At 41.6% G+C, this 27,920-nt stretch overlaps 1 protein-coding gene across 1 annotated transcript in view; it reads right to left on the bottom strand.

The window, feature by feature from the left end:
* The window catches only part of SPON1 (spondin 1), a 305,411-nt gene that overhangs the window by 167,857 nt on the left and 109,634 nt on the right, over nucleotides 1-27,920 (bottom strand). The window contains exons 4-5 of the mRNA NM_006108.4: nucleotides 24,859-24,932; nucleotides 20,256-20,378 (exon numbers count right to left, since the gene is read on the bottom strand). Coding sequence (NP_006099.2) covers nucleotides 20,256-20,378; nucleotides 24,859-24,932 — 197 coding nt within the window. The remainder of the gene's footprint in view (nucleotides 1-20,255; nucleotides 20,379-24,858; nucleotides 24,933-27,920) is intronic.

The raw sequence follows: 27,920 nt of genomic DNA, 5'->3' as shown, positions 1-27,920 counted from the left end.
GCCCAGAGGGGCCTTTCATGGACTAATTATACTTGTGTGTCACTAGGTAACACATAGCTTGGCACCTGAGGCAGAATAAGAAAACAGGCTTTTGAAAGTCAACATAAGCTAGGTTATTAAAAAAAAAAAAAAACTCAGTAAGTACAAAAAAGCAGAAATTATATATAACACACTCTTTTACTGATATGGTTTGGATGTTTGTCCCCTCCAAATCTCATATTGAAATGTAACCCCCAGTATTGGAGATGGGGCCTGGTGGGAGGTGATCGGATCAGGTGGGGAGATCCCTCATGAGTGGCTTAGCTCCCTCCGCTTGGTGATGAGTGAGTTCTCGCTCTGGTAGTTCACAGGAGATCTGGTTGTTTGGAAGAGTGTGGCACCTCTTCCCTCTGTCCCTCACTCCTTCTCTCACCGTATGACATCAGTTGCTTCCGCTTGGCCTTCAGCCCTGATTGTAGCCTCCTGAGGCCCTCACCAGAAACAGATGCTGGAGTTGTGCTTGTACAGCCTGCAGCCAATTAAACCTCTTTTCTTTATAAATTATCCCAGTCTCAGGTATTTCTTTATAGTGATGCAAAAATGGACTAACACACTTACCAAAACAAAATAAAACAAAATTAGGAACAAAGATGTAAATCAAAACTCTCTGACTACTTAGAAATTTTGAAATAATCTGCTAATTAACAAATATGTCAAGAAGATAAAGTGCACAAAAGCACTCTATTAAGAAAACAATGAAAATGAGAACTACATATTAAATTCCCTGGGAAGGGCTCAGAGCTACACTAAGAAAATTCACAGCCTTAAGTGCATTTATTATTAATAAAAACAAAAAACAAAATGGGAAAATCAGCATACTAAGTCAACAATATAAAAATTCACCAAAGGAACAAAAGGACAACCCAAAAGAAATAGAAGGGAACAGTATATATAAAAGTGGATGTGTGTAAATTACCAACAGCATAACAGTAGCATTATTTAATAAGCTACACAGCTTATTAGATAAAGCTAACACGGGTAAATTTAGCCAGGAAATAGTGAATGATCTTACTGCACTCTATAGTTGTATGCTAGGAACTATGAAAATCTAAATAAAATGGATAATTTTTAAAGGAAAAAGTAAAATTCTAAAACTGACATAAAAGAAAGAGCTTGAATACACCAATAACTGATGAAGAAATTGGATAACTTGGGGGTGAGGATAAGGGAAAGTATTCAATGTGTGTGGATAATTCTTTTAAAGTCTCAATTATGAATAAAAACAGGTAGGTAGGAACTAACCAATTTACTCCTCAAAGCTAGTATGGCCTTGAGACTACAGTCAGATAAAGAGTTGATTTAAAAATCAGGAATTGTGTACCACTTTCACTCTTGCATGTAGATCTGAAGAATTTAATGACAATACTAATGGATTACCACTTTAAAGGAGAGGCATGGTAGAAAGGACTCTAGGGTCAGATGGACCCAGATTCAAAGCCAGATGCATTTCATAGTGCAAACCTGTGGCACAGCCAGTGCATCATTCTCTGGCTGCCTCTCTTTCCCTCTCTCTCCTCTTCTCCCTCTGTCTCTCTTCCCCTCCTATTCTCTCTCTCTCTCTCTTCCCACCCCTCTCTCTCTCTCTGCCTTTCATATCACGCACCAGCTCGACCACAGATTTGCTCTATGAACTGGGCCTACTCTCTAGCCTCTCTGAGACTCAATTTTCTCTTCCATAAATCAGGAGCATAATATTCATCCTATGAGGCTAAGGCAAGAATTATTGAGAAAATGTATACCAAAAATATAATGCTTTGTGAATAGTTTATAATTACACATGTGTACTAAAGGAAGGAAAAAACAAACCACAATTAAATTAGGCTCATCACAGAATGGATGAATAGTCTAGCAAATTGAAAACTAGTAATTATAATACTCCACAAAAGAGATTGAATAGTAACAATTATTTGTTCATATCAATAAGCGCTGAAATGGCATTAGAAAATCCAACATCCGGCTCACGCCTGTAATCCCAGCACTTTGGGAGGCCGAGGCAGGCGGATCACAAGGTTAGGAGATCGAGACCATCCTGGCTAACACGGTGAAACCCCGTCTCTACTAAAAAATACAAAAAATTAGCTGGGCGTGGTGGCAGGCGCCTGTAGTCCCAGCTAGTGGGGAGGCTGAGGCAGGAGAATGGTGTGAACCCGGGAGGCGGAGCTTGCAGTGAGCTGAGATCGTGCCACTGCACTCCAGCCTGGGCGACAGAGCGAGACTCCGTCTCAAAAAGAAAGAAAAATGCAACACCCATTAAAAAAATTAGAAGTGTACATCTATATTTAACATCCTTAAACATCCTTTAACATCCTGGAAGCCAAGAGTCAACATCATACCTTGTCAGTGAACAAGTGGGAGACCACAGAAATCATGGAAGAGTAATCAGAAAAAAAAAAGACAAAAACATGTTGTGTTTTACAGGCAAATTATTAATTTTTTATTTTGTTTATTTATCTTTTTAGAAATGAGGTCTCACTCTGTTGCCTGGGCTGGAGTGCAGTGGCAGTGGTACAATCATGGCTCAATGGCCTTAACCATGGGTTCAAGGATGGGTTCAAGTCATCCTCCTGCCTCAGCCTCCCAAGTAGCTGGGACTACAGGCACGCACCACCATGCCCAGCTAGGCAAATAGCTATTGATTACTTATGTAACCCAAGGAATATTAGGTAAAACTATTAGGAAAAAACATAGAGGTACAATAAATGGGAATAACGAGAGCATTTTTGTACACTAATTATAACCTGATAGAAAACGTAATGAAAACTGGAAATCTCATTCATAATAACCAAAACATAAAATAATTCTAGGAATTAACTTGATGAAGCATATATAAGAATGAAACAGCAAAGCCTTCTTGAGAAAACAAAAATCATTTAGAAAAAATTAAAATCTCTTCAAGTCTCAGTTTTTACGGAAATTGCATATATTTTTAAACCAGGAAACATGATCTGTGAAAATGCACTCCCTATTATTAAAGGGTGTCCTCTTAGCTAAAATTCCAGAAACCCCTATCTAATAATCTACTTTATAACGTTGTTCCTTTGAGTATGTTTTGGGTTAGATGACAGCCTAGTGTTGGCAAAGAGAGAAGATTTGGGAATGGGAACTGGATTGGCGTCTGAGTTTAGCCACAGACCCAGAGAAAAGACATTCTCATTTGGGTGTTTTTAGGTCCTAGGTGAGCAATGGAAGGAAGCAGCATTTGAGTGGGATGGGGGAGAGGAAGGCAATTCAGAAAGGGCAGCCTCAGTACAGTGGGGATGTATAATCTTTTATAAAATCCTATAGCAACATAAAATTCTATAGTAATAACTGACTTTACTGTTTTGTTAGCTTTGCTTCTTATTTTATCAAAATAATACATGTACAGAGTCTAAGAATCAATTTCTGAAAAAGTGGCAATACCAGTCTCAGTCCCACAGGAAACAGATGGCATACTCAAGTGGGGCAAGAGAAGTGAGTTTGATGAAGGGACATTTTATAAGGGCCTGGCAGAGTCAAAGGAGTGCAATAAGGAAAGGTGAAGCTCCCAGGGAGTTGTGACTACCCCTAAACCTGAGGAGGAGCAGTTTCAGGAACCAGGAGGGAGAGTTGAAGCTGGAAGACAGGGTGGCTGGGCAGAAGCTGTGGCTGCTGGAAGAGGACCACCCACCTGCAGCCTCCACTGGCAGGGAGCAGTGGGTGGGTAGGTAGAGACCCTGACCTCACTTTCCTCTGTCCTTGGCTTCCCACTGACCAAATCCAGCTGGAATGCAGAGGGCGAGAGAGCCACTTGATGAGATCCCTCGACGTCACCCTCCCAAAGCAGGATGGAGAGAAGAGTGGATCTGGGGGTGAGAATGAAATCCCTAAAAAACACACCTGTGCAAAGTACCTAAAAGTGCTGGAAAAAAGTGAGAGAAATCCTCTGGGACTGAGTCTGCTTTATTCATCTAGTGTTATCTTTGTGGGATTTGGGGAAACAACAGAGATTTATGTGTTCAGCCTTCCCTGTTTAACTGGAAAATGTGATCATGGACTTTCCTTCTCCACTCCCAACCCATACATGAGTGACTGGTTGTCATAGGACTTCCTTTCCAGAGAGGCAGAAGGAAGGCAAGAGAAAAAGGGTAAAGAAGATATTTAATCCTTTCTCTTTTGCCCTTTCTTTCACTGAAACTGTGTATGACGACACAAGTGTTGGGTGCCAAATTCCATTTCCTGGTGAAATCCTATATTTGTGACTCAGCCTGGTGGCAGCAGCAATGTCTCCTGTCCCATCATAGCACTGGCAGTGGCACAGCTGAGATGCTCTGATGGGCAGACTTCTCAGGATTGGGAGGGATTCCACAGTGATGGAAGAAGGAAGCAGTGGGATTATTGTTCATTGTATGTTTGTGATGGTTCATTTTATGTGTCAGCTGCGCCATTGGGTGCCCAAATTATTTCTGGGTGCATCTGTGAGGATTTCCAGATGTGATACACATTTGAATCAGGTAACTTAACAAAGGAGACTTCCATCCCCCGTGTGGGTGGGCCTCATCCAATCAATTGAGGGCCGAATAGAACAATATGCAGAGGAAGAAGAAATCCATTTCTTTACACCCTGCCTGCCTGCTTGACCAGGGACATTGGCCTTCTCCTGCCCTGGGGCTGGGATTTACACCATTGGCTCCCTTTGTTCTCAGGCTTTTGGAATTCAACTAGAACTACACCACTGGGTCTCCTGGGTCTCCGGTTTGCAGATGGCAGATTGTGGAACTTCTCAGCCTCCATAATCATGTGAGCCAATTCCTCAAAAAAAAATGTATTATCTATCTATCTATCTATCTATCTATCTATCTATCTATCTATCTAGTCTCTCATTTATCTATCTCCTGTTGGTCTGTTTCTCTGGAGAACTGTAATATAATGTTTAATTTTGTTTCTGCAGTTAGATTGAGAAAGAAGGGCTATGGTCCATATGGTATCACTCTTCTAGGCATGGTGCTAAGGAAACCCAGAAATGCTTGGTTTTATTCATAAATGGGAAAAAACTAGACAAGCTAAACATTATAAAGCTAACAATTCCTCTCAAGGTAATTTTGAGACTTAGTGCAATCCCACTTAAAATTCTGACAGGATCCTTTTCAGAGCCTGATGAAATGATTTCAAAGTCATTTGTAAAAAGAGAGAGATAATAATATTGAGGAATATTTTCAAAAGAAAGAGCACCTCCATTTCCAAGCCAGAAACCTAGCTTGTCAGCTATGATGTTTCTCTCTCTTACTCCTCCGCATCCAGTTCATGACAGAATCTACTGTTAAAAGAGATGTGAAATATACCAATTTTCTCCATTACCACTTTCACCGCTGCAGTCCAAGCCACACCATTGCCCACTAACTGACTGCAATGTCCTCCTTGCGCATCCTCCCACACACCACTGGCCCCATCCAAGCTGCTGTCCACTCAGCAGCCACATATGGCCTTATCTCTCTCCTGCCCTAACCTCTTCATCAGCAGCTTTTCATTGCTCATCTCCCTCCACTCTCTTCCTTCCTCATTTTGTAACTGCTTCTCATTCATTCATCCATTCATTCCACACTATTTATTCAGAACTTTCAGTGTGCCAGACAATGACTGATGCCCTGGGGAGACAAGGAGCAAAATCAGACTTGATTCATGCCAACACCCTAGTGGTTTTAAAGGCAAAGGACAATAAACATGAAAAAAGATTCAAGTGTGTTGGTAATTAAACCAATGCCAATTTAAAATAAGATTAATTTTAATAAATTATTACTAAATAAAATTTTAATTAAAATTTTAATTGAATGCTGAGAAGGCTGGGAGAAACAGACACATTTATTCATTATTGGTAATAAACTGAATTGATACAAATGTGTTGGAGAAGAATCTGGCAAGATGTATCAAGGGCCAAAAGAAAAATCCATATCCTTTGATCCAGCAGTTTTCATCTTGGGAAATTATTTCAAGGAAATAATTCCAAAGAAAGGAGACGGGTTGAGGAAGACTTTAAGTACCAAGCGTTGTGTGGCTTTTTTTTTTTTTTTGAGACAGAGTCTCACTCTGTCACTCAGGCTGGAGTGCAGTGGTACAATCTCGGCTCACTGCAACCTCTGCCTCCCAGGTTCAAGCGATTCTCGTGCCTCAGCCTCCTGAGTAGTTGGAATTACAGGCACACACCAGCATGCCTGGTGAGTTTTTGTATTTTTAGTAGAGACAGGGTTTCACCATGTTGGCTAGGCTGGTCTCAAACTCCTGACCTCAAGTGATCCATCTGCCTTGGCCTCCCAAAGTGCTGGGATCATAGGCGTGACCACCATGCCTGGCCTAAGTACAAAGTATTTTATTGCAGTGCTTTCTATGTTAGCAAAAGACCTGACATTACTTAAATGATCAATAAAACAATAGATAAGTTGCTTAGAATAAGCTGATATGAGTATGAAGACAAAATCAAATGCAAAAAGTAGAACAGTATGTTCAAATGTGATATACATACTCTGTACATAGATGAATATATGAAGAAACAAAAGTAGTTGTTAAGTGTTAGAGCGGTGGTTTTTCATGTGATTGGACTTAATAATAATTTCCTAAATCTGGTGATCCAATAGAAAAGATGGCTGAATTTCATTGTAAAATGAACTTTGATTATATAGAGTATATTTCCCAATTGCTGTATTTATATTTTAGGCAATGTATTGTCAAACGGAAAACGTGATTGGCTCCTGGAAAAAAATGTTCTTTTCATCAATGCATATCTGTTAAACAGCATTAAAACCGATGTCATATCAAAAATGGGGGAAGCTATGCAGCTTACATTGTCAAAGGTGATTAAAGGGTCTCTATGGGATAGGAGCATTTGTCAAAAACCCAAGAGCTGTATTCAGAGCTAGAGAATAAAGAGACTCAGCATCTTTTAGGTAACTCCCAATTCCTTGGCAAAGAATGGGCATGTCTCCAGCCTCCAGGACACCCTCATGTGGTTACACTGCCTAGTCACCTTGTTTCTGTGAAGCAACTGCTTCTGAGCCATAGCTGGAAGCTACAGACTCACAGTGCCTCGAACAGACATTGCAGGAGCTGGCAGTTCTTCTGACACTTTAAGGTCCATGAACTCCACTCAGGACCAGTGAATCCAGACCTTCTCTTTCTGACTTCTAAGTTAGGATCTCTGCAATGCAGGTTTTTGTAGAGTGGGGCAAAGCTGTTCAGTATGGCACCAAATTTGGTACCAGTTGAGTTCATGTTAGTACAGCAGGGCCTTATTAAAAGATGCTTTGTGTATAAGATACTAATTTTTCTGCAGAAGGACAGAAGATTGATGGCCTCCTAATAGCCTACAGAGGAAGGCAAAAAGGAGTCAGGAGACCTAAGCTTTGATTTTGTTTCGGACACTCTGTGGCTATGTCATCTGAGTCTGTAACTTCTTTGTGCTTCAGTTTTTCACTTGTAAAATTAGGAAGTAAAACTTACATGATAAGTTAAAATGCGTTTCTAGAACTACTAGATTAGAAGTGTTTTAAAAGGATTTCACTATTTCCAGATGACAAGCAGAGATCTATAGCATTACAATAGATAGGGAATGCCAGAGGTCATTTAGGCGATTCCCCTGCCTCCCTTCTTATCTAACCACATCTAGCCCCTCCTAGAGAGAACACTGTGCTCCAATGGAAGGAACCCCAGAAACAGCACTTGGAACAAACCATTTTGTAAAATGGTTGAGAAGAGCCTCGGCAGATGTGGCCCACCTGCAGAGACTGGGTATTGCCCCATCCTTCCTATAGTGTCCAACGTAAATTCCCAAGGGCAAGTTAGTCAAAGAGTACTGAAAGTCAGACACCTTAGGTTGCTATCTTACCTATTGCAGAGGTTCTCAAAGTCTGGACCACAGACCCCTTGGAACCCCAAGACCCTTTCAGGGGGTCTAGAAGGTGAAAACTATTTTTATAATAATGCTAAGACATTACTTCCCTTTGTAATGTATTGACATTAACTCTGGCACTGAGCATGGATCAAGTTAATGACCCCAAACCATGTTAGTCGCTGATATATTTTTCACTGCCACATACCAACAGTAAAAAGCAAAAGGGGTCCGTTTCACTTAAGAATGTCCTTGGAGGGTATTGGCAAGATGGCCGAATAGGAACAGCTCTGGTCTGCAGCTCACAGCAAGACCAATGCAGAAGGCGGGTGATTTCTGCATTTCCAACTGAGGAACCCTGTTCATCTCACTGGGACTGGTTAGGCAGTGGGTACAGCCCACAGAGGATGAGCAGAAACAAGGTGGGGTGTCGCCTTGCCCAGGAAGTGCAAGCAGCTGGGGGCCTCCCCCGCCCCGCCACCCCCAGCAAAAGGAAGCCGTGAGGGATTGAGAGGTGACAGCGTGCTGGCAGTCCTCAGAGCCCTCGCTTGCTCTCGGCACCTCCCCTGCCTGGGCTCCTACTTTGGCGGCATTTGAGGAGCCCTTCAGCCCCCCACTGCACTGTGGGAGCCCCTTTCTGGGCTGGCCAAGGCTAGAGCCCACTCCCTCAGCTTGCAGGGAGGTGTGGAGGGAAAGGTGCGAGCGAGAACCGGGGCTGCGGGCGGCACTTGCGAGCCAGCTGGAGTTCTGGGTGGGCGTGGGCTTGGCGGGCTCCGCACTCGGAGCAGGCGGCCAGCCCTGCTGGCCCCGGGCAATGAGGGACTTAGCACCCGGGCCAGTGGCTGCGGAGGGTGTACTGGGTCCCCCAGCAGTGCCGGCCCACCGGTGCTGCGCTCAATTTCTCACCGAGCCTGAGCTGCCTTCCCGCGGGGCAGGGCTCGGGACCTGCAGCCCGCCATGCCTGAGCCTCCCACCCACTCCATGGGCTCCTGTGCGGCCCGAGCCTCCCCAACGAGCACCACCCCCTGCTCCACGGCGCCCAGTCCCATCGACCACCCAAGGGCTGAGGAATGCCAGCGCTCGGCACGGGACTGGCAGGCAGCTCCACCTGCAGCCCCGGTGCGGGATCCACTAGGTGAAGTCAGCTGGGCTCCTGAGTCTGGTGGGGACGTGGAGAGTCTTTATATCTAACTCAGGGATTGTAAACACACCAATCAGCACCCTGTGTCTCGCTCAAGGTTTGTGAGTGCACCAATCGACACTCTGTATCTAGCTGCTCTGGTGGGGCTTTGGAGAACCTTTATGTCTAGCTCAGGGATTGTAAATACACCAATCAGCACCCTGTGTTTAGCTCAAGGTTTGTGAGTGCACCAATCGACACGCTGTGTCTAGCTGCTCTGGTGGGGCCTTGGAGAACCTGTGTGTCAAAACTCTGTATCTAACTAATCTGATGGGGACGTGGAGAACCTTTGTATCTAGCTCAGGGGTTGTAAATGCACCAATCAGCGCCCTGACAAAACAGGCTACTGGGCTCTACCAATCAGCAGGATGTGGGCGGGGGGGGGGGGGGGGGGGGCCAGATAAGAGAATAAAAGCAGGCTGCGGGAGCCAGCAGTGGCAACCGGGTCCCCTTCCACACTGTGGAAGCTTTGTTCTTTTGCTCTTTGCAATAAATCTTGCTGCTGCTCACTCTTTGGGTCCACGCTGCTTTTATGAGCTGTAACACTCACCGTGAAGATCTGCAGCTTCACTCCTGAGCCCAGCCAGACCACGAGCCCACCAGGAGGAACGAACAACTCCAGACCCGCCGCCTTAAGAGCTGTAACACTCACCACAAAGGTCTGCAGCTTCACTCCTGAGCCAATGAGACCACGAACCCACCAGAAGGAAGAAACTCCAAACACATCTGAACATCAGAAGAGACAGACTCCAGACACACCACCTTAAGAGCTGTAACACTCACTACGAGGGTCCGCGGCTTCATTCTTGAAGTCAGTGAGACCAAGAACCCACCAATTCCAGACACAGGACTGTGCTATCCAGCCCAGATACTACGCTTTTCCCATAGTTTTTGCAATCCGCAGACCAAGAGATTCCCTTGTGTGCCTACACGTCCAGGGCCCTGGCTTTCAATCACAAAACTGGGCGGCTGTTTGGGCAGACGCCAAGCTGGCTGCAGTTTTTTTTTTTTTTTTTTTTTTCATACCCTAGTGGTGCCTGGAACTCCAGCAAGACAGAACTGTTCATTCACTCCCCTGGAAAGGGGGCTGAAACCAGGGAACCAAGTGGTCTTGCTCAGCCGGTCCCATTCCCGTGGAGCCCAGCAGTCTAAGAACCACTGGCTTGAAATTCTTACTGCCAGCACAGCAGTCTGAAGTTGACCTGGGATGATCGAGCTTGGTGTGGGAAGGGGCATCCACCATTTCTGAGGCTTGAGTAAGCAGTTTTCCCCGACAGTGCTAAGGAGGCTGGGAAGTTCAGACTGGGCGGAACTCAACACAGCGTGGCAAAACAGCTGTGGCCAGACTGCCTTTCTAGATTCCTCCTCACAGGGCAGGGCGTCTCTGAAAGAAAGGCGGCAGGCCCAGTCAGGGGCTTAGAGATAAAACTCCCCTCTCCCTGAGACAGATCACCTCAGGGAAGGGGTGGCTGTGGGCCCAGCTTCAGCGGATTTAAACATTCCTGCCTGCCAGCTCTGAAGAGTGCAGCAGATCCTGACAAGGAGGATTCTACCAGCACAGAGCTCGAGCTCTGCTAAGGGACAGGCTGCCTCCTCAAGTGAGTCCCTGACCTCCGTGCTTCCTGACGGGGAGAGACCTCCCAGCAGGGGTTGACAGACACCTCATACAGGAGAGCTCCAGCTGGCATAAGGCTGGTGCCCCTCTGGGATGAAGCTTCCAGAAGAAGGAGCAAACAGCAATTTTTGCGATTCTGGAGCCTCTGCTGGTGATACCCACGAGAACAGGGTCTGGAGTAGACCTCCAGCAAACTGCAGCATACCTGCAGAAGAGGAGCCTGACTGTTAGAAGGAAAACTAACAAACAGGAAGCAATAACATCAACATCAACAAAAAGGACCCCCACACAAAAAACCCCATCCAAAGGTCATCAGCCTCAAGATCAAAGGTAGATAAATCCATGAAGATGAGGATAAATCCAATGCAAAAATGCTGAAAATTCCAAAAACCAGAATGCCTCTTCTCCTACAAAGGATCACAACTCCTCTCCAGCAAGTGCACAAAACTGGATGGAGAATGAGTTTGACAAATTGACAGAAGTAGGCTTCAGAAGGTGAGTAATAACAAACTCCTCTGAGGTAAAGGAACGTGTTCTAACCCAGTGCAAGGAAGATCAGAACCTTGATAAAAGGTGACAGGAACTGCTAACTAGAATAACCAGTTTAGAGAAGAACATAAATGACCTGATGGAGCTGAAAAACACAGCATGAGAACTTCCTGAGGCATTCACAAGTATCAATAGCTAAACCAAGCAGAAGAAGGGATATCAGATATTGAAGATCAACTTACCAAAATAAGGCACGAGGACTAGATTAGAGAAAAAAGAATGAAAAGGAACGAACACAGCCTCTAAGAAATATGGGAGTATATGAAAAGACCAAACCTACAATTGATTGGGGTACCTGAAAGTGAGGACAAGAATGGAACCAAGTTAGAAAACACACTTCAGGATATTATCCAAGAGAACTTCCCCAATCTAGCAAGACAGGCCAACATTCAAATTCAGGAAATACAGAGAACACCACAATGATACTCCCCGAGAAGAACAACCCCAAAACACATAATTGTCAGATTCACCAAGGTTGAAATGAAGGAAAAAATGTTAAGGGCAGCCAGAGAGAAAGGTCAGGTTACCCACAAAGGGAAGCCCATAAGACTAACAGCAGATCTCTCTGCAGAAACCCTACAAGCCAGAAGAGAGTGGGGGGCCAATATTCAACATTCTTAAAGAAACGAATTTTCAACCCAGAATTTCATATCTAGCCAAATTAAGCTTCATAAGTGAAGGAGAAATAAAATCCTTTATAGACAAGCAAATGCTGAGGGATTTTGTCACCAACAGGCATGCCTTACAAGAGCTCCTGAAGGAAGCACTAAACATGGAAAGGAAAAACTGGCACCAGCCACCACAAAAACACACAAAATATAAAGATCAATGACACTATGAAGAAACTGCATCAACAAATGTGCAAAATAACCAGCTAGCATCATAATGACAGGATCAAACTCACACATAACAATATTAACCTTAAATGTAAATGGGCTAAATGCTCCAATTAAAAGACATACACTGGAAAATTGGGTAAAGAGTCAAGACTCATCAGTGTGCTGTATTCAGGAGACCCATCTCACATGCAAAGGCACACATAGGCTCAAAAAAAAGGGATGGAGGAATATTTACCAAGCAAATGGAAAGCCAAAAAAAGCAGTCCTAGTCTCTGATAAAACAGACTTTAAACCAACAAAGATCAAAAAAGACAAAGAAGGGCACTACAGAATGGTAAAGGGATCAATGCAACAAGAAGAGCTAACTATCCTAAATATATGTGCCCCCAATACAGGAGCACCCAGATTTATAAAGAAAGTTCTTAGAGACCTACAAAGAGACTTAGACTCCTACAGAATAATAGTGGGAAATTTTAACACCCCACTGTCAATTTTAGATCAATGGGACAGAAAATTAACAAGGATATTCGGGACTTTAATTCAGCTCTGGACCAAGTGGACCTAATAGAACTACAGAACTATCTACCCCAAATCAACAGAATATACATCCTTCTCTGCACCACTTAGCACTTATTCTAAAATTGACCACATAATTGGAAGTAAAACACTCCTCAGAAAATGCAAAAGAACAGAAATCATAACAAACAGTCTCGCAGACCACAGTGCAATCAAACTAGAACTCAGGATTAAGAAACTCACTCAAAACCACACAACTACATGGAAATTGAACAACCTGCTCCTGGATGACTATGGGGTAAATAACAAAATTAAGGCAGAAATAAATGAGTTCTTTGAAACCAATGGGAATAAAGAGACAATGTACCAGAATCTCTGGGACACAGCTAAAGCAGTGTTAAGAGGGAAATTTATAAGCACAAAATCCCACATCAGAAAGCAGGAAAGATCTAAAATCGATACCCTAACATCACAATTAAAAGAACTAGAGAAGCAAGAGTAAACAAATTCAAAAGCTAGCAGAAGACAAGAAATAACTAACATCAGAGCAGAACTGAAGGAGATAGAGACATGGAAACCCTTAAAAAAAATCAGTGAATCCAGGAGCTGGTTCTTTGAAAAAATTAACAAAATAGATAGACTGCTAGCCAGACTAATAAAGAAGAAAAGAGAGAAGAATCAAATAGACACAATAAAAAATGATAAAGGATATCACTACTGATCCCACAAAACTACAGACTCCCATCAGAGAATACTATAAACACCTCTACACAAATAAACTAGAAAATCTAGAAGAAATGGATAAATTCCTGGACACATACACCCTCCCAAGACTAAATCAGGAAGAAGTTGAATCCCTGAATAGACCAATAACAAGTTCTGAAATTGAGGCATTAATTAATAGCCTACCAACCAAAAAAAGCCCAGGACCAGACGGATTCACAGCTGAATTCTGCCAGAGGTACAAAGAGGAGTTGGTACCATTCCTTCTGAAACTATTCCAAACAACAGAAAAAGACGAACTCCTCCCCAACTCATTTTCTGAGGCCAGCATCATCCCAATTCCAAAACCTGACAGAGACACAACAAAAAAAGAAAATTTTAGGTCAATATCCCTGATGAACATTGATGTGAAAATCCTCAATAAAATACCGGCAAACCAAATCCAGCAGCACATCAAAAAGCTTATCCACCATGATCAAGTCGGCTTCATACCTGGGATGCAAGGCTGGTTCAACATATGCAAATCAATAAATGTAATCCATCCCATAAACAGAACCAATGACAAAAACCACATGATTATCTCAATAGATGCAGAAAAAGCCTTCAGTAAAATTCAACACTGCTTCATGCTAAAAACTCTCAGTAAATTATGTATTGATAGAACATATCTCAAAATAATAAGAGCTATTTATGACAGACCCATAACCAATATCATATTGAATGGGCAAAAGCTGGAAGCATTTCCCTTGAAAACCAGCACAAGACAAGGATGCCCCCTCTCACCACTCCCATTTAACATACTATTGGAAGTTCTGACCAGGGCAATCAGGCAAGAGAAAGAAATAAAGCATACTCAAATAGGAAGAAAGGAGGTCAAATTGTCTCTGTTTGCAGATGACATGATTGTATATTTAGAAAACCCCATCATCTCAGCTTAAAATCTCAAGCTGATAAGCAACTTCAGCAAAGTCTCAGGATACAAAATCAATGTGCAAAAATCACAAACATTCCTATACACCAATAATAGGCAAGCAGAGAGCCAAATCATGAGTGAACTCCCGTTCACAATTGCTACAAAGAGAATAAAATACCTAGGAATACAACTTACAAGGGACATGAATGACCTCTTCAAGGAGAACTACAAACCACTGCTCAAGGAAATAAGAGAGAACACAAACAAATGGAAAAAAATTCCATGCTCATGGATAGGAAGAATTAATATTGTGAAAATGGCCATACTGCCCAAAGTAATTTATAGATTCAATGTTATTCCCATCAAGCTACCATTGAGTTTCTTCACAGAACTAGAAAAAACTACTTTAAATTTCGTATGGAACTAAAAAAGAGCCTGTATAGCCAAGACAATCCTAAGCAAAAAGAACAAAGCTGGAGGCATCATGCTACCTGACTTCAAATTATACTACAAGCCTACAGTAACCAAAGCAGCATGGTACTGGTACCAAAACAGATATATAGATCAATGGAACAGAACAGAGGCCTCAGAAATAACACCACACATCTACAACCCTCTAATCTTTGACAAATCTGACAAAAAAAAAGCAGTGGGGAAAGGATTCTCTATTTAATCAATGGTGCTGGGAAAACTGCCTAGCCATATGCATAAAACAGAAACTGGACCCTTCCTTATATCTTATACAAAAGTTAACTCAAGATGGATTATTAAAGACTTAAATGTAAAACCTAAAAGCATAAAAACCCTAGAAGAAAATCTAGGCAATATCATTCAGGACATAAGCATGGGCAAAGACTTCATGACTACAACACCAAAAGCAATTGCAACAAAAGCCAAAATTGACAAATGGGATCTTACTAAACTAAAGAGCTTCATCACAGCAAAAGAAACTAGCATCACAGCGAACAGGCAACCTACAGAGTGGGAGAAAATTTTTGCAATCTATCCATCTGACAAAGGGCTAATTTCCAGAATTACAAAGAACTCAAACAAATTTACAAGAAAAAAACAACCCCATCAAAAAGTGGGTGAAGGATATGAACAGACATTTCTCAAAAGAAGACATTTATGTGGCCAACAAACATATGAAAAAAAGCTCATCATCACTGGTCATTAGGGAAATGCAAATCAAAACCACAATGAGATACCATCTCATGCCAGTTAGAATAGTGATCATTAAAAAGTCAAGAAACAACAGGTGCTGGAGAGGATGTGGAGAAATAGGAATGCTTTCACACTGTTGGTGGGAGTGTAAATTAGTTCAACCATTGTGGAACACAGTGTGGCAATTCCTCAAGGATCTAGAACCAGAAATGCCATTCGACCTAGTGATCCTATTACTGGGTATATACCCAAAGGATTATAAATCATGCTACTATAAAGACACATGCATATTTATGCTTATTGCAGCACTGTTTACAACAGCAAAGACTTGGAACCAACCCAAATGCCCATCAGTGATAGACTGGATAAAGAAAATGCATCACATATACACCATGGAATACTATGCAGCCATAAAAAAGAATGAGTTCATGTCCTTTGCAGGGACATGGATGAAGCTGGAAACCATCATCCTCAACAAACTAACACAGGAACAGAAAACCAAACACAGCATGTTCTCACTCGTAAGTGGGAGTTGAACAATGAGAACACATGGACACAGGGAGGGGAACATCACACACCTGGTCCTGTCGGGGAGTGCAGGGCAAGGGGAGGGAGAGCATTAGGACAAATAACCTAATGCATGTGGGACGTAAAACCTAGATAATGGGTTGATAGGTGCGGCAAAACCACCATGGCACATGTATACCTACGTAACAAACCTGCACATTCTGCACACATATCCCAGAACTTAAAGTTAAAAAAAAAAAGAATGTCCTTGAAAAAACAATAAAAATGATTAATTTCATTAGATCTCTGCCTTTGAGTAAACATATTTTTATTTTTTCTGTGTGACTAATTGGGAACTACGCAGAAGCACTTCTGCTATATACTGAAGTACTGTGATTGTCTTGAATAAAAGCACTTATGCGACTCTTTGAGGTGCAAGCTGGACTAGCCGCTTTTTATGTTCATAAAACATCATTTTCACTTGAAAGGACAAATGACAGACAAATTATGGTTATTCAGACTTGGGAATTTGGCCTACATTTTCTAAAAAATAAAGTGATCCTGTCACTTCAAGGAAAACAACTGACAGTATTTGTTGCCAATGATAAAATTCAAGCTTTCAAGCAAAACCCAGAATTTTAGAAAACTTGTGTTCATTATTATGAACTTGATAGCTTTCCAATATTAAATACTTTTCTGATGAGATTGGTAGTGATATTAATGGATATGGCTTTTCATATTGTTTAATGAACTGTGTCAACACTTGCACAATCTGCATAACTCAGTAAACCAATATTTTCCAAATGATCAACGTAAGATGTTACAAAACCATGCATTTGTAAAAGATCCATTCAAAGTAGAAGGTAAAGCAATGACTTTTAATGTAAGAGTACAAGTTCATTGATATAGTTTCAAATTCCACATTGTAATTAACCTTTAAAAAAACAATTTGCAGAGTTCTGGTGTAGGATCAAAGATTATCCATAATTATCAGAAAAGGTTATTAAAATACTCTTCCCTTTTCCAATTACATAGCCATATGAGACAGAATTTTCTCCGCATACTTCAACCAAAAAATAGATTTTTTGAACCTATTTGAATCTATTTTGAATCTAAGTTGAATGCAAAAGCAAAGGCAAATGGGAATCCAGGTGTATTCTATTAAGCCAGATAGAAAAGACAGTTGCAAAAACGTAAAACATTGATCCTCTTTTCACATTTCTTTTGTTTTGAATATAGGTATTTTCATAAAATATGTTCTTTATATTAACCTGGAACAAGTTTATTATTTTTAATTTACTAGGTTTATTTTAAAAATAAATAATATTTTTCAATTTCTCTGTTTTAGTTTTTGATACATGGAAGATTGATGGCTATAACCCATATAAACCACTTATGTTGGGATCCTCAAAGATTTTTTAAGCATACAAAAGCGGTCCTAAGATTTAAAAGCTTAAGAACCACTGTCCTAAGATCACTGTAGAGAAAGCAGTGTTTTGGATGACTAATAAAGGACAGGGGGGCTTGGCAATTGTCAGTTTGCACTATTGTGGGAAGCTTCTCTGGGCATGATGATAGAGAATGGTTATCAAGACAGTATCATCTTTGCAGTGGCAAAAAGAAATTCATCTATTACTTAAGACTGATAGAAATAACTTTTGAGAACATTAAATTTTCAAGATCCCGATTAGATCCTCCCCATGTCCTTTTAAACGGCTCCAGTCTCCCTGAGTGTTCACTCCTTTTCCTCCATGGAAGGTTTGACTCACACTCTCCTCCATACTGCCCATCATAATTAGCTGAAGGCTAGACATCTGCCTCCCAGGTCATAATGAGTGTGACTCGGAGTTCAACAATCAGTACACAGTGCTTGGGAAGACAACAGGCACTAAGAATCAAAGATAAGCACGTCATCACGTTTGTCCTGGAGGACTTCTTGGTCTAGTGGGAAAGAAAGACTTTTAAAAAAATAACTACAGTATGCTATGTTAAGTGCTATTCTGTACAAGTGACCAAATTTTTCCAACCAAAAATTAGGACACAATCTGACAATTGTCTATAAGACATCATGTCAAAAATGGAACAATCCTAGAAGATCTGGAACACACGTCTGCTATATTTACTAAGAAACTCTCAACAACTCCACAGAAACTCTGTATAGATTTGTACTTGATTTGGCCCAAAGACCCAGAAACAATTTTTTTTTTTCACCTCCTCCCTAAATTCTGGGAAATGACAGTGGCAGAATAGGAAAGGTCAAGAAGCTTCTTAGGATCACAAAAGATGAGTAACGGGCCCCTAACATTTTATTTCCTCTGGTTAGTGGATAGGAGAGGCTGGAGGAAATTTTTCCATCGTGCTTGTTCCAAATGTTTTCTTTCCCCCAGGCAGAGAGTCCAAGTTTCTTCGCACAGGTCTCCCACACAGCTGATGCAGATCAGGCTGAATCTCAGAGTCAGAAGAATGAACTAGAAAGAGGCTTCTAAGATCCCAAGCCTTGATTGCATGTGGGTAACATTAAACAATAGAGCTCTTGATTTGTCAACAAATGTCGAAGTCCCCTCTGGGTGGGCTGCGTGGGGATCATGGAGGTTCTGATCTGGTCTGAGTCTTCTTAAGTCCAATCATGTGCCCTTTTCTCCCCCTTTCCTTTGGGACCTGAGCCAAATCCCTCTTTTTAATCTCTCTCTCCCATTCCTACTGTTCTTCCTGAACTGCGGTAACTCCAAAGTAAAATGCACAAGAACAAAACAGACAATGAACAGAAAAAAACAGGCTCAGTGCCACACATGGACATCCTGCCACCCACAGAGAGAATGGGCAACACGCAACCCAAACAAAAGGCAGGCATAGGAGACTGAAAAACCCCTTTGGATCTTGGATCCATTACTTACATCTCAATGTGGGCAAATCATGACATCTCTCTCCTCCCCAGTAAACTTATCCACAAAAACACATTACTTTGAGGATTAAACACTATAACATATGTAGAAATGCTTGGTTCACAGTAAGTCCACTTTTCTTATAGTCTTCACCTCTTTCTGCATGACTATTTGGTTAGTGTCTGTCTCTCCACTAGCCGCTGAGTGGCTTGAGAATATGGGATGCATCTTTTTTTTGTTCAGTATTATAACTCTAGAGCTGAGCACAGTGCCTGGCACATGTTAGGCGTTTGTTGAGACAATTATATGATAAAGTGGAATTAGTAGGATCTACTTAAAAAATAGTAAGTTTGGGGTCTCCTGACAACTCTCATGGCTTTGTATTGGCTATCTTGATAACAATGTTATGAAAAGATTTTTTTTTTTTTTGAGTCAGAGTCTTGCTCTGCTGCCCAGGCTGGAGTGTAGTGGTGTGGTCATGGCTCACTGCAGCCTTGAACTCCTGGGCTTAAGATCCTCCTGCCTTAGCCTCTTGAGTAGCTAGGACTACAGGCAAGACTACAGGACTACAGGCATGTGCCACCATGCCCAGCTAATTTTAGAATTTTGCTATGTTGCCTAGGCAGGTCTCTAACTCCTGGCCTCAAAGGATCCTCCCACATCAGCCTCCCAAAGCACTGGGAGTACAGGCTTGAGCCACCATGCTTGGCCCCTCATGAAGGGATTTCAAGGTGGCATCTGAAGTCAGTAAAAAAAAGGCATGCTGACTAATTACTAACACCTATGATAGCAGAGTATTTGTTGACCTTGACCTATAGAGTCAAGAGCAGGTCCCTTTTGCCGCTATTTCCAGCAGGTCTGTCATGGAATTCATGGACAGGGTCATTGCAGGGGGATTGAGGTTACCAAATGCCTCACCTGAATATAAGCAGCATGACTTTGGGAATATTTTTAAAAATCACAGATAAGAAAGCACAATGCTGGGGCTGGGCACAGTGGCTCACACCTGTAATCCCAGCACTTCGGGAGGCCAAGGTGGGTGGAGCACCTGAGGTCAGGTGTTCAAGACCAGCCCAGGCAACATGGCAAAACCCCATCTCTACTAAAAATACAAAAATTAGCTGGGCATGGTGGCCCATACCTGTAATCCCAGCTACTCAGGAGGCTGAGGCAGGAGAACTGCTTGAACCCGGGAGGCGGAGGTTGCAGTGAGCCGAGATTGTGCCACTGCACTCCAGCCTCGGCAACAGAGCGAGACTCCATCTCAAAAAAAAAAAGAAAAAAAATAGCACAATGCTATGCAAAGAAGCTGAAAGCATACCCATATAATGTCTGCCTGTCTTGATTAATATACATACTTGGATTGTGCATTTCATGAACCAGCCAATACTAGGGAGCAGATCTGACATGCTGCAGCTAGTGTGCCCTATAACCAGACAGAACTTTGACAATGTGCTTTTCCCCAAACCACAGAGTAGCCACTCTACTCACGAGGGTAATCCTTTGGGTGTGTCTTCTCGGACCAATTCCCATAAAATGTGAGTCTGTACTTGGCAGTTCCGCAGGCACAGCAGTCTAAGATGGGTTTGTCAGTCACCCCATCAAATGTGGAATCTGAAACAGTCAGAAAAGTCACCAAGTTAGAAAGTAAACGTGGGTTGTATATAAGGTGGTGCTATCATGGTCTCATTTTATCCTTAACCCTTAGGAAAAGAAGATGCAGCTTTCATTAGTTAATAAGACTTAGAGCCAGATCAGTACTTGGGCAATAAAGGATTTTGTATGCCTCTAAGTATGGTAATATTTTGAAAAAAAAAAAGAGAGCTTTTTCCCTAATAAATTGAGAAGATCTGTGGGAGCAATAACCCATAGGCTATTCGAGAATATTTAAGATGGGGGCTATGTTGAAAAATCAGGGGTAAAATTCACTCAATCATCCTTTCCGGATCCTGGTCTCCTTCCCCACCCCTCCCACAACAGGATTTCTCTAACAAATTTTAGGAGGAATACACATGTGTGCTTTCTCTAGGAAATATTCTCTGGGACCAAAATGACAGGACCAGAAGGAATGACTTTGAAGCAGAGCAGTGAAAATAAATGGAGAGAGATAAAGAATTACTGAAGGGAGAAAAAAAAGAGGCATGCATATATAATCACGTCACTTCTTATCATGCTTTCAGAGACTTCACTGGGAGGAGTAGGGGGTGGAAATGTGTTCATAAGCTCAGGTTTACTGTACTTCTGGGTATAGAAGTAGCCAGGAAAAACTTAAGATTCCCTCTCGGCCCTCATTTTTAGCTGTGAATAGCTGATAAGTGGGGAAAGAGAGATTACATGAATAAATTCAGTATTTCCGATTGTCAAACCCACATCTCTAGCTGCACGTTGTTGCTTTTAGTCTGTTCTGCTTCCTGCAAGATGAAAACAATGACTACAGATGTAACTTGCTTCAGTTGCTTTTTTTCACTTCCTCTAGTAGTATTAACATAATTTTTTTTTCTTTGCAGTTGGACATTTATTCTTAAATATTATACAAAGAGTAGTGGCAAAGAATGTTAAAATCATTGTGAGTGTTAGGAAGAGCATTTTACAAGACTTCCTTTTGGAATTTACTGGGTTGATTTGGTTTAAATATATAAAATCCATGATGGATAGAAGTGAATTCTAGGTTCTAGGGTGGAGATGAAAGGATGAGACATCATAATAATAACTACAAAATACTGAGTCCTTTTATTTGCTGATTTCTTTCCATATATTGTCTCGTTTAATCCTAACAATGCTAGGAGGTAAGTACTTTTGCTATCCCCATTTTACAGGTCAGTAAATTGAAGCAGATTAGGTAACCTGTTCAAGGTCACAGGGTTAGTGAACAGGGCAGGCAGAACTGGAGGCCAGGTCTTTTTGGGTCCAGGACTCATACCCTTAATCTCTGCACTACATTACTCCAGGAAAGACCTCATCTGGATAGGTCTGCATAGATAGGAAAGAGAGAAAACTTTTTTATTGTTTCTGTATTGCTTTTTTCAATGAAGAAAGATGCGCTAAAAAAAAAATTGCCTCCCTACATAGCTCTACGATTTCTAAATCAGAGATACATGCTGAGGTTTCAATTGTAGCTACTAGGGGCTATTAAATGAGGCAGCAATAGTCTCTACAAAAACCAAAAGAAGGCCAACTGGTAGCTTTGCCTTATCAAAAGGGCTTTCGGATATAGGTGGTAAACTTAACGATATTTCTGAGGGTTCAAAGGAATGCATAATAAACCTTTTGGATTTTCAAAGGAAAATAAGCTTCCATTTGAAAAATACATTTTTAAGCTCCCATTTGAAAAATAAATTTTTCAGTTTGAAAATAAAAACAGACATACTGTTTTCCTACTAAGGAAAAGCCTATTGAAAATGAATCAGGCTTTCAAAGGGCAGTGATAAGAATCGTCCACTTACTCCTCTTCTAACCACAGCAGGCAGGGTCTGCCAACCATGGGTAATTTCAGGCTATGGAGCATCTCCAGAGCCGCCCTCTCTCCCCATTTCTACTTGAAATCCACTGACTTCCTTTGCAACTCTCTTCCTGTATTCTTTGTTCCTCTTCCCTTTTTCTTCCTTTTCTCATTATCCTGTTTCTGTTGACATTTTTCTCTTTTTTCTGCGTTTCCCTTCCTTTTTCCTTTTTTTTTTGTCTCTTTCATTTAATTGCTTGTGACATGGTATTAAAGTATGTGTATGCAGGGCCGGGCACGGTAGCTCATGCCTGTAATTCCAGCACTTTAGGAGGCAGAGATGAGCGGATCACTTGAGGTCAGGAGTTCGAGACCAGCCTGGCCAACATGGCAAATCTCTATTTAGATCTTACTTGTGAGACAGAGATCTTTTCATATTTAGTAGAGATGAAACCCCATCTCTACTAAAAATACAAAAATGGGCATGGTGGTGTGTTCCTGTAATCCCAACTACTCGGGAGGCTGAGGCAGGAGAATCGCCTGAACCCGGGGGTTGGAGGTTGCAGTGAGCCGAGATCGTGCCACTGCATTCCAGCCTGGGTGACAGAGTGAAACTCTGTCTCAAAAAAACTAAAAAAAAAAAAATAAAGTATGTGTATGCATATGTTTGTTATAGGTCACTTTTTTGAATATTTTGTTTCTCTGTTCTTAATTGGAAGTAACCTATTGTTTATCTTGCTTTTTAAAACTATTGTTTGCCTTTGCTTTTCATCTGTGCAGCTCTAGGTCTTCTCCCCAGGCACTGTGGTGTGGTTTTGTCAGTTTGACTGTCGGAGGACAGCCTTATTTTCAGGAGCTGAGGGTTCTTAGGAGATACTTCACTGACACCCTCATGTACTGCCATCAATCATTAACTAATGTGCACTTCCCAAAGTCTCAATCCTGATGTTATGTGAAGACTTGTCTAAGGCATTTACAAGAGGTGTCTTGGAAATGTGTGATCCAAAACACCCACAAGTCCACCACAGCACCTGGATCTCATCACATGAAGATACAGCAGGGATGGGATTGTCATTGAGGAACCAAGAGCTTAATAAGTGGAGATGCTCCCTGTGTAGAGAAAGGCTGAGTGAACTTGCAGGCAGTTGAACACAAAAAAGAAAAGCCTCAGAAGACACGTGTGGTGGTGTCCATGTGGAAGCTGGCCAGGGTTCTCTGGACTGCAGATTCCAGCTCTCCAGCCCCTCTGGGAGGTATGATCCTAATGCAAGGTATCCAACTCTCTCTCTCCTTTGCTATTGCCATGTTCTCTAAACAATTCCAAACAGGGGACCTAGTTTCTGCTCAGCTCATCTACAGGAGGACAATGCATTGATCTGTCAAAGGCAATGATAAGAACTACTGAACTGGGAAGCAGTTGCTTTGCTAGAAAGCAATGGTTAAGGGCATTGGCTCCTGACTTCAAACCCAGCCTTCCACCATGAGTATATGATGCTAAGAAAGCTATTTAAATTTTTTGTGTCAGGCCCCTCATCCATAAAATAAAAATATAATAATAATCTTTACCATATAGGGCTGCTGTGCAGATTATAAAATTAATGCATATGAAGTGCTTAAAATAGTTATTGGCACGTAGCAAAGCACCCCAAACATATTACCTATTATTATTGTTTTCCCCGAAGACCTTTATCAACCTTTCTTTTTCTTAGTAGCTTATACTTTGCTATAGTTGGAGAGGATTATTTCTTCTCCAAACACTAATTGCTCTAAATGCAAATAAAAATTCTGCAAAATTAAATAGAAATGAGATTGTTATGCTGTATAAATATAGAGCATTTTTTATTTTTATTTAGTTATCCAATAACTTTTAAAAACATTCCGATGTTTAAGGTCAATTTTTTTTGCAGTAGATTAATGAATAAGCTTTCAGATATAGATAACAAGAGCTATCTATTCTATAGACAGCATTTACTATGTGTCAAGGAGGTACTGTACTATTTTATCTATTTAAGTCACATGGCTAGAAGGGGCAGAGGCAGATCCGAACCTGGGCCTGATCTAAACTCAGGTCTCTGCTTTATCCCCCGAGTCTAGTTAGCCTCCATGAGCTTTGTTACAATACCTTCAACCTAAGGAGAGAAGGTTGATAAGTTTGCAAATCTAAGGACTAGATCCTTGAATGTGGTGATATCACAAGGTCAACACCCCCTTGGCATCCCCATCCCCTGCTGGGCTTCTCTGGAGAAAATCCTCCCATATTGTCTGGGTGCCACACAAGATCTTGCTGGTGATTTTTTTCCAAAGAACCATTACAGACTTTTTAAAGGTACACAATTGTGCATTCCTTAATTAAGTCCTGTGAATTATTCCAAGGAACCTCTTCAGAATAATCACTGTTTCACAAAAATAAGAAGACGACACCAATATAAGGTACATTATCTTCTACCCAGGGAATCAAGCTGAGTAATTAGAGCTTAAGGCGGATCCAATTACCCACAGCACACAGCCAGATTAAAAATCGGAGCTACGTGAGGAAGCAGAACCCAGAGGAACTCACGAAGCCCAGGGGCCTTAATTCTTGCAGCAGGAGGATCGTGCAGGAGGAGCTGCCTTCCATGTCTCTGCCCCTCCCCCTCCCCACCCACAGGGTCTTACCTTGTTCACAAAGTTTCTTGGTCAGAGAGCCCTCATCTTGAAAATAAATAATGCGTTTTTGTACGATGCTGGCCCTGTGAAGAAAGAAGACCCAAGCACAGTGGTGAGGAGGGCAGGAAGGCAGGTTTGGGAGATCAGTCAGACATAGTCCCTGCTTGGCTTTGTGGCTTTGAGTGAGTCACCCCAACTCTCTCTGTCTTCATGAGAAAATTAACATAACAGCAATACCTGCTTTATGGGGTTGTGGTGAGAACTAAGTCAGAAAATGTATGTCAAGAGATTAACACATACCTAGAAACCACTCCACTCAATATTAGTTACTAAATTGTTTTTGGTGGTAAGGTTATTGTGAAGGTAAGAAAGTGAACTAACAGTATTTTAATAACTTTTCTCAATGGTTTATTTTACTCTACTTTTCATGTTAAACTATTGAGGCCATTTATAGATCAGCCAAATTCAAATCACAGAAGCATGTCAGATCCTCTTTGTGAAGGGGAAAAAGGAATTTAAAAATATATTTTGATTTGTTCTGAAAATGTCATTCTATATCTTTCCTGAAAGTCTAGACAAAACTGTCTCCTACATTCTGAACAAAGACAACTTCAGCTGTTATATCTCCCTCTTAAACATGTCAAATGCAGGATCTTAGAATTTGGAAAAAATATTTTGAGGCTGAAAAATGACTTACTTTTGGCCAGCACATATTTTCGCTTTAATTTGGGATTGCACAGACATGCTTCTTTTATTTTAACCCACTCTGTTGTTGATTTTCAGCTGGCCTTGAAGGGGTTGGATACTGAAACCCAGAGTTTCAGTAATTTGAAAGTTTACAACATTTAGAACTGAGACAATGCGAAAGGATCTTGGACCACTTCTACTGATTTTCTTCAGCAATGCTACTCAGTCAAACGGTAATTTTCACTTCCATTCACCCTGTTTAACAGATATAGGGATTCCTTGACTGTATTATAGCTGACCACACTGAAGGAGTATTAGAGTCACATGATCTGCATGTGTCACATGATCCCAGACCCAGGAATGGGGCCATGTGTGCATGGATCCACAGAGTACAGAGGCAATCTTCCTGATGGTCTGGGCCTAGGCCAGGATGACTTTCCAAAGAAATATCTACTCTACATCTAGTCTTGCACAAAATAATACAATTCTGACCATCCTACAGATGTCTTTTACAGTCATTCCTTACCCAAGAGAGACAAGATGTTGAAATAAATGAATGAAATATGCTTCCTGTCTACGCAAAGCTACTTTGATCATTCTTTTGACTATGAAGCAAAAGAAAGTTTCCTCAGGCCAAGAGAATAACAGTCTTCACCCCAAAGCCAAATAACAAAGCCTTTTGTTAGTCAGATCATCCCATCATCTCCAACAGTGCTTTTCAGAGTGTTTTCCACTCTGTGCCTCCAGGACCTCTGTGGAGGGGAAGGGGCAGGCTTAGTGGGAAGTATCCCAGGCCCCACATTCCTGCTTCAGCCAAAGGCTCCATCCTAATTTCAACCACAACAGCCTCTTCCCCCATTTGTCTTCCCATTATATTTACTGGTGTATTTTCAACAAATAGTTGGGGGTCTGCTTAGGGGCCTGAGGGAGGTTCCAGGACACTGTCATAAACAAGCCAGATGGGGCCACACTACCCATTCTCAAAGTTTACAGCATAGTAGGAGAAAGTATCAAATAACCAAACCTGCAGCTGATCATTTAACACAACCTTGATTAAAGTTTACAAGGAAGTCCACGGAGTGCAGGAGAGCATAGAATAGGGCATCCTAACCATGCTGGGAAAGGCTCCCCTGAAAAAAGGTGGCAGAGCTGAGGTTTGAAAGAGCAAACTAGGAGCTAATTAGGCAAGTGGAAGGGAGGAGACAGGGAGAGGGCATCCCTTATAAAGTTCTTCAGGAGGGGAGGGACATGGGCTCATGGGAGGACCTACGAGTGGTAAGTCAGGGAGGTAGTACAGATTATACAAGCCTAATCTGAAAATCTAAAATCTGAAATGCTCCAAAATCCAAAACTTTTTGGGTGCTGACATGACACTACAGTGGAAAATTCCACGTCTGACCTCATGTATCAGGTCACAGTTAAAACATTTATTGGCAGCACATAAATTTAGGGTTAGGAATGATGGTGATGCCAAACAACCACAAACTGTCCACATGGCAGGCTGTGGTGGTGATACCTTTGCTTTCTGATGGCTCAATGTTTGTGTAAAACACAAACTTGTTTTAGGCACAAAATTATTAAGAATAATGTATAACATTAATCTCAGGCTATATATATAAGGGTCTATTCATGTATATGTTTGAAACGTGCATGAATTTTGTGTTTAGACTTGGGTCCCATCCCAAGATACCTCATTGTGTATATGCAAATATTCCAAAATCTGAAAAAAAAAATCACAAATCTAAAACATTTCTGGTCCCAGTCATTTTGGATAAGGAATACTCGACCTGTATGAGATGAGCTGGGAAGATGGGTAGGGCCACATTACCCAGAGCCTGCAGGGAGATGGCATTTCACTCCAAGTTTAATGAGATATCTTTGAAGAGTGTGCCCAGAGGACTAAGATGATCAGATCTGCTCTTTTAAAAGAGCACTCAGGATGTAGTAAAAACCAGTTGGTGTGTGGCTGCAGTGGACAGAGCTCCCATGCAAATCAAGTTTTGTTTCCATAAAGCTCTCTTGCTAAAAACATTTAAAAATCAGTCATCTACAGGATAAAATACAAACTTATAATATTCAAGGGTCTTTATAATTTTCCCCAGACATGTCCTGGCTTCAGCTGTCATCACTTTGGGCCAAGCTTCCCGGGTTGCAGACTTTCGATGTTTATTCTTGTGTGAACACCTCTTCAACTCGACCAGGCCTCTGCCTGTGCTGCCTCCTCTCCGGAATCACCCATGCCTGCCTTTGCTTGCCTCTGTAATAAATACTCTGAATCTTCTTCCTCCTACTGTAAATAGGGGGACAATGGCAAAGCCTATCATTTAAAAGCATGATAGTGCATAGAAAAGTAATTGCCCTCAAATTTTTGAAATATATGATTA

The sequence above is a fragment of the Homo sapiens genome, chromosome 11 (assembly GCF_000001405.40).
Source record: "Homo sapiens chromosome 11, GRCh38.p14 Primary Assembly".
Taxonomy (NCBI): domain Eukaryota; kingdom Metazoa; phylum Chordata; class Mammalia; order Primates; family Hominidae; genus Homo; species Homo sapiens.
This window is presented reverse-complemented; position numbering and strand designations above follow the sequence as displayed.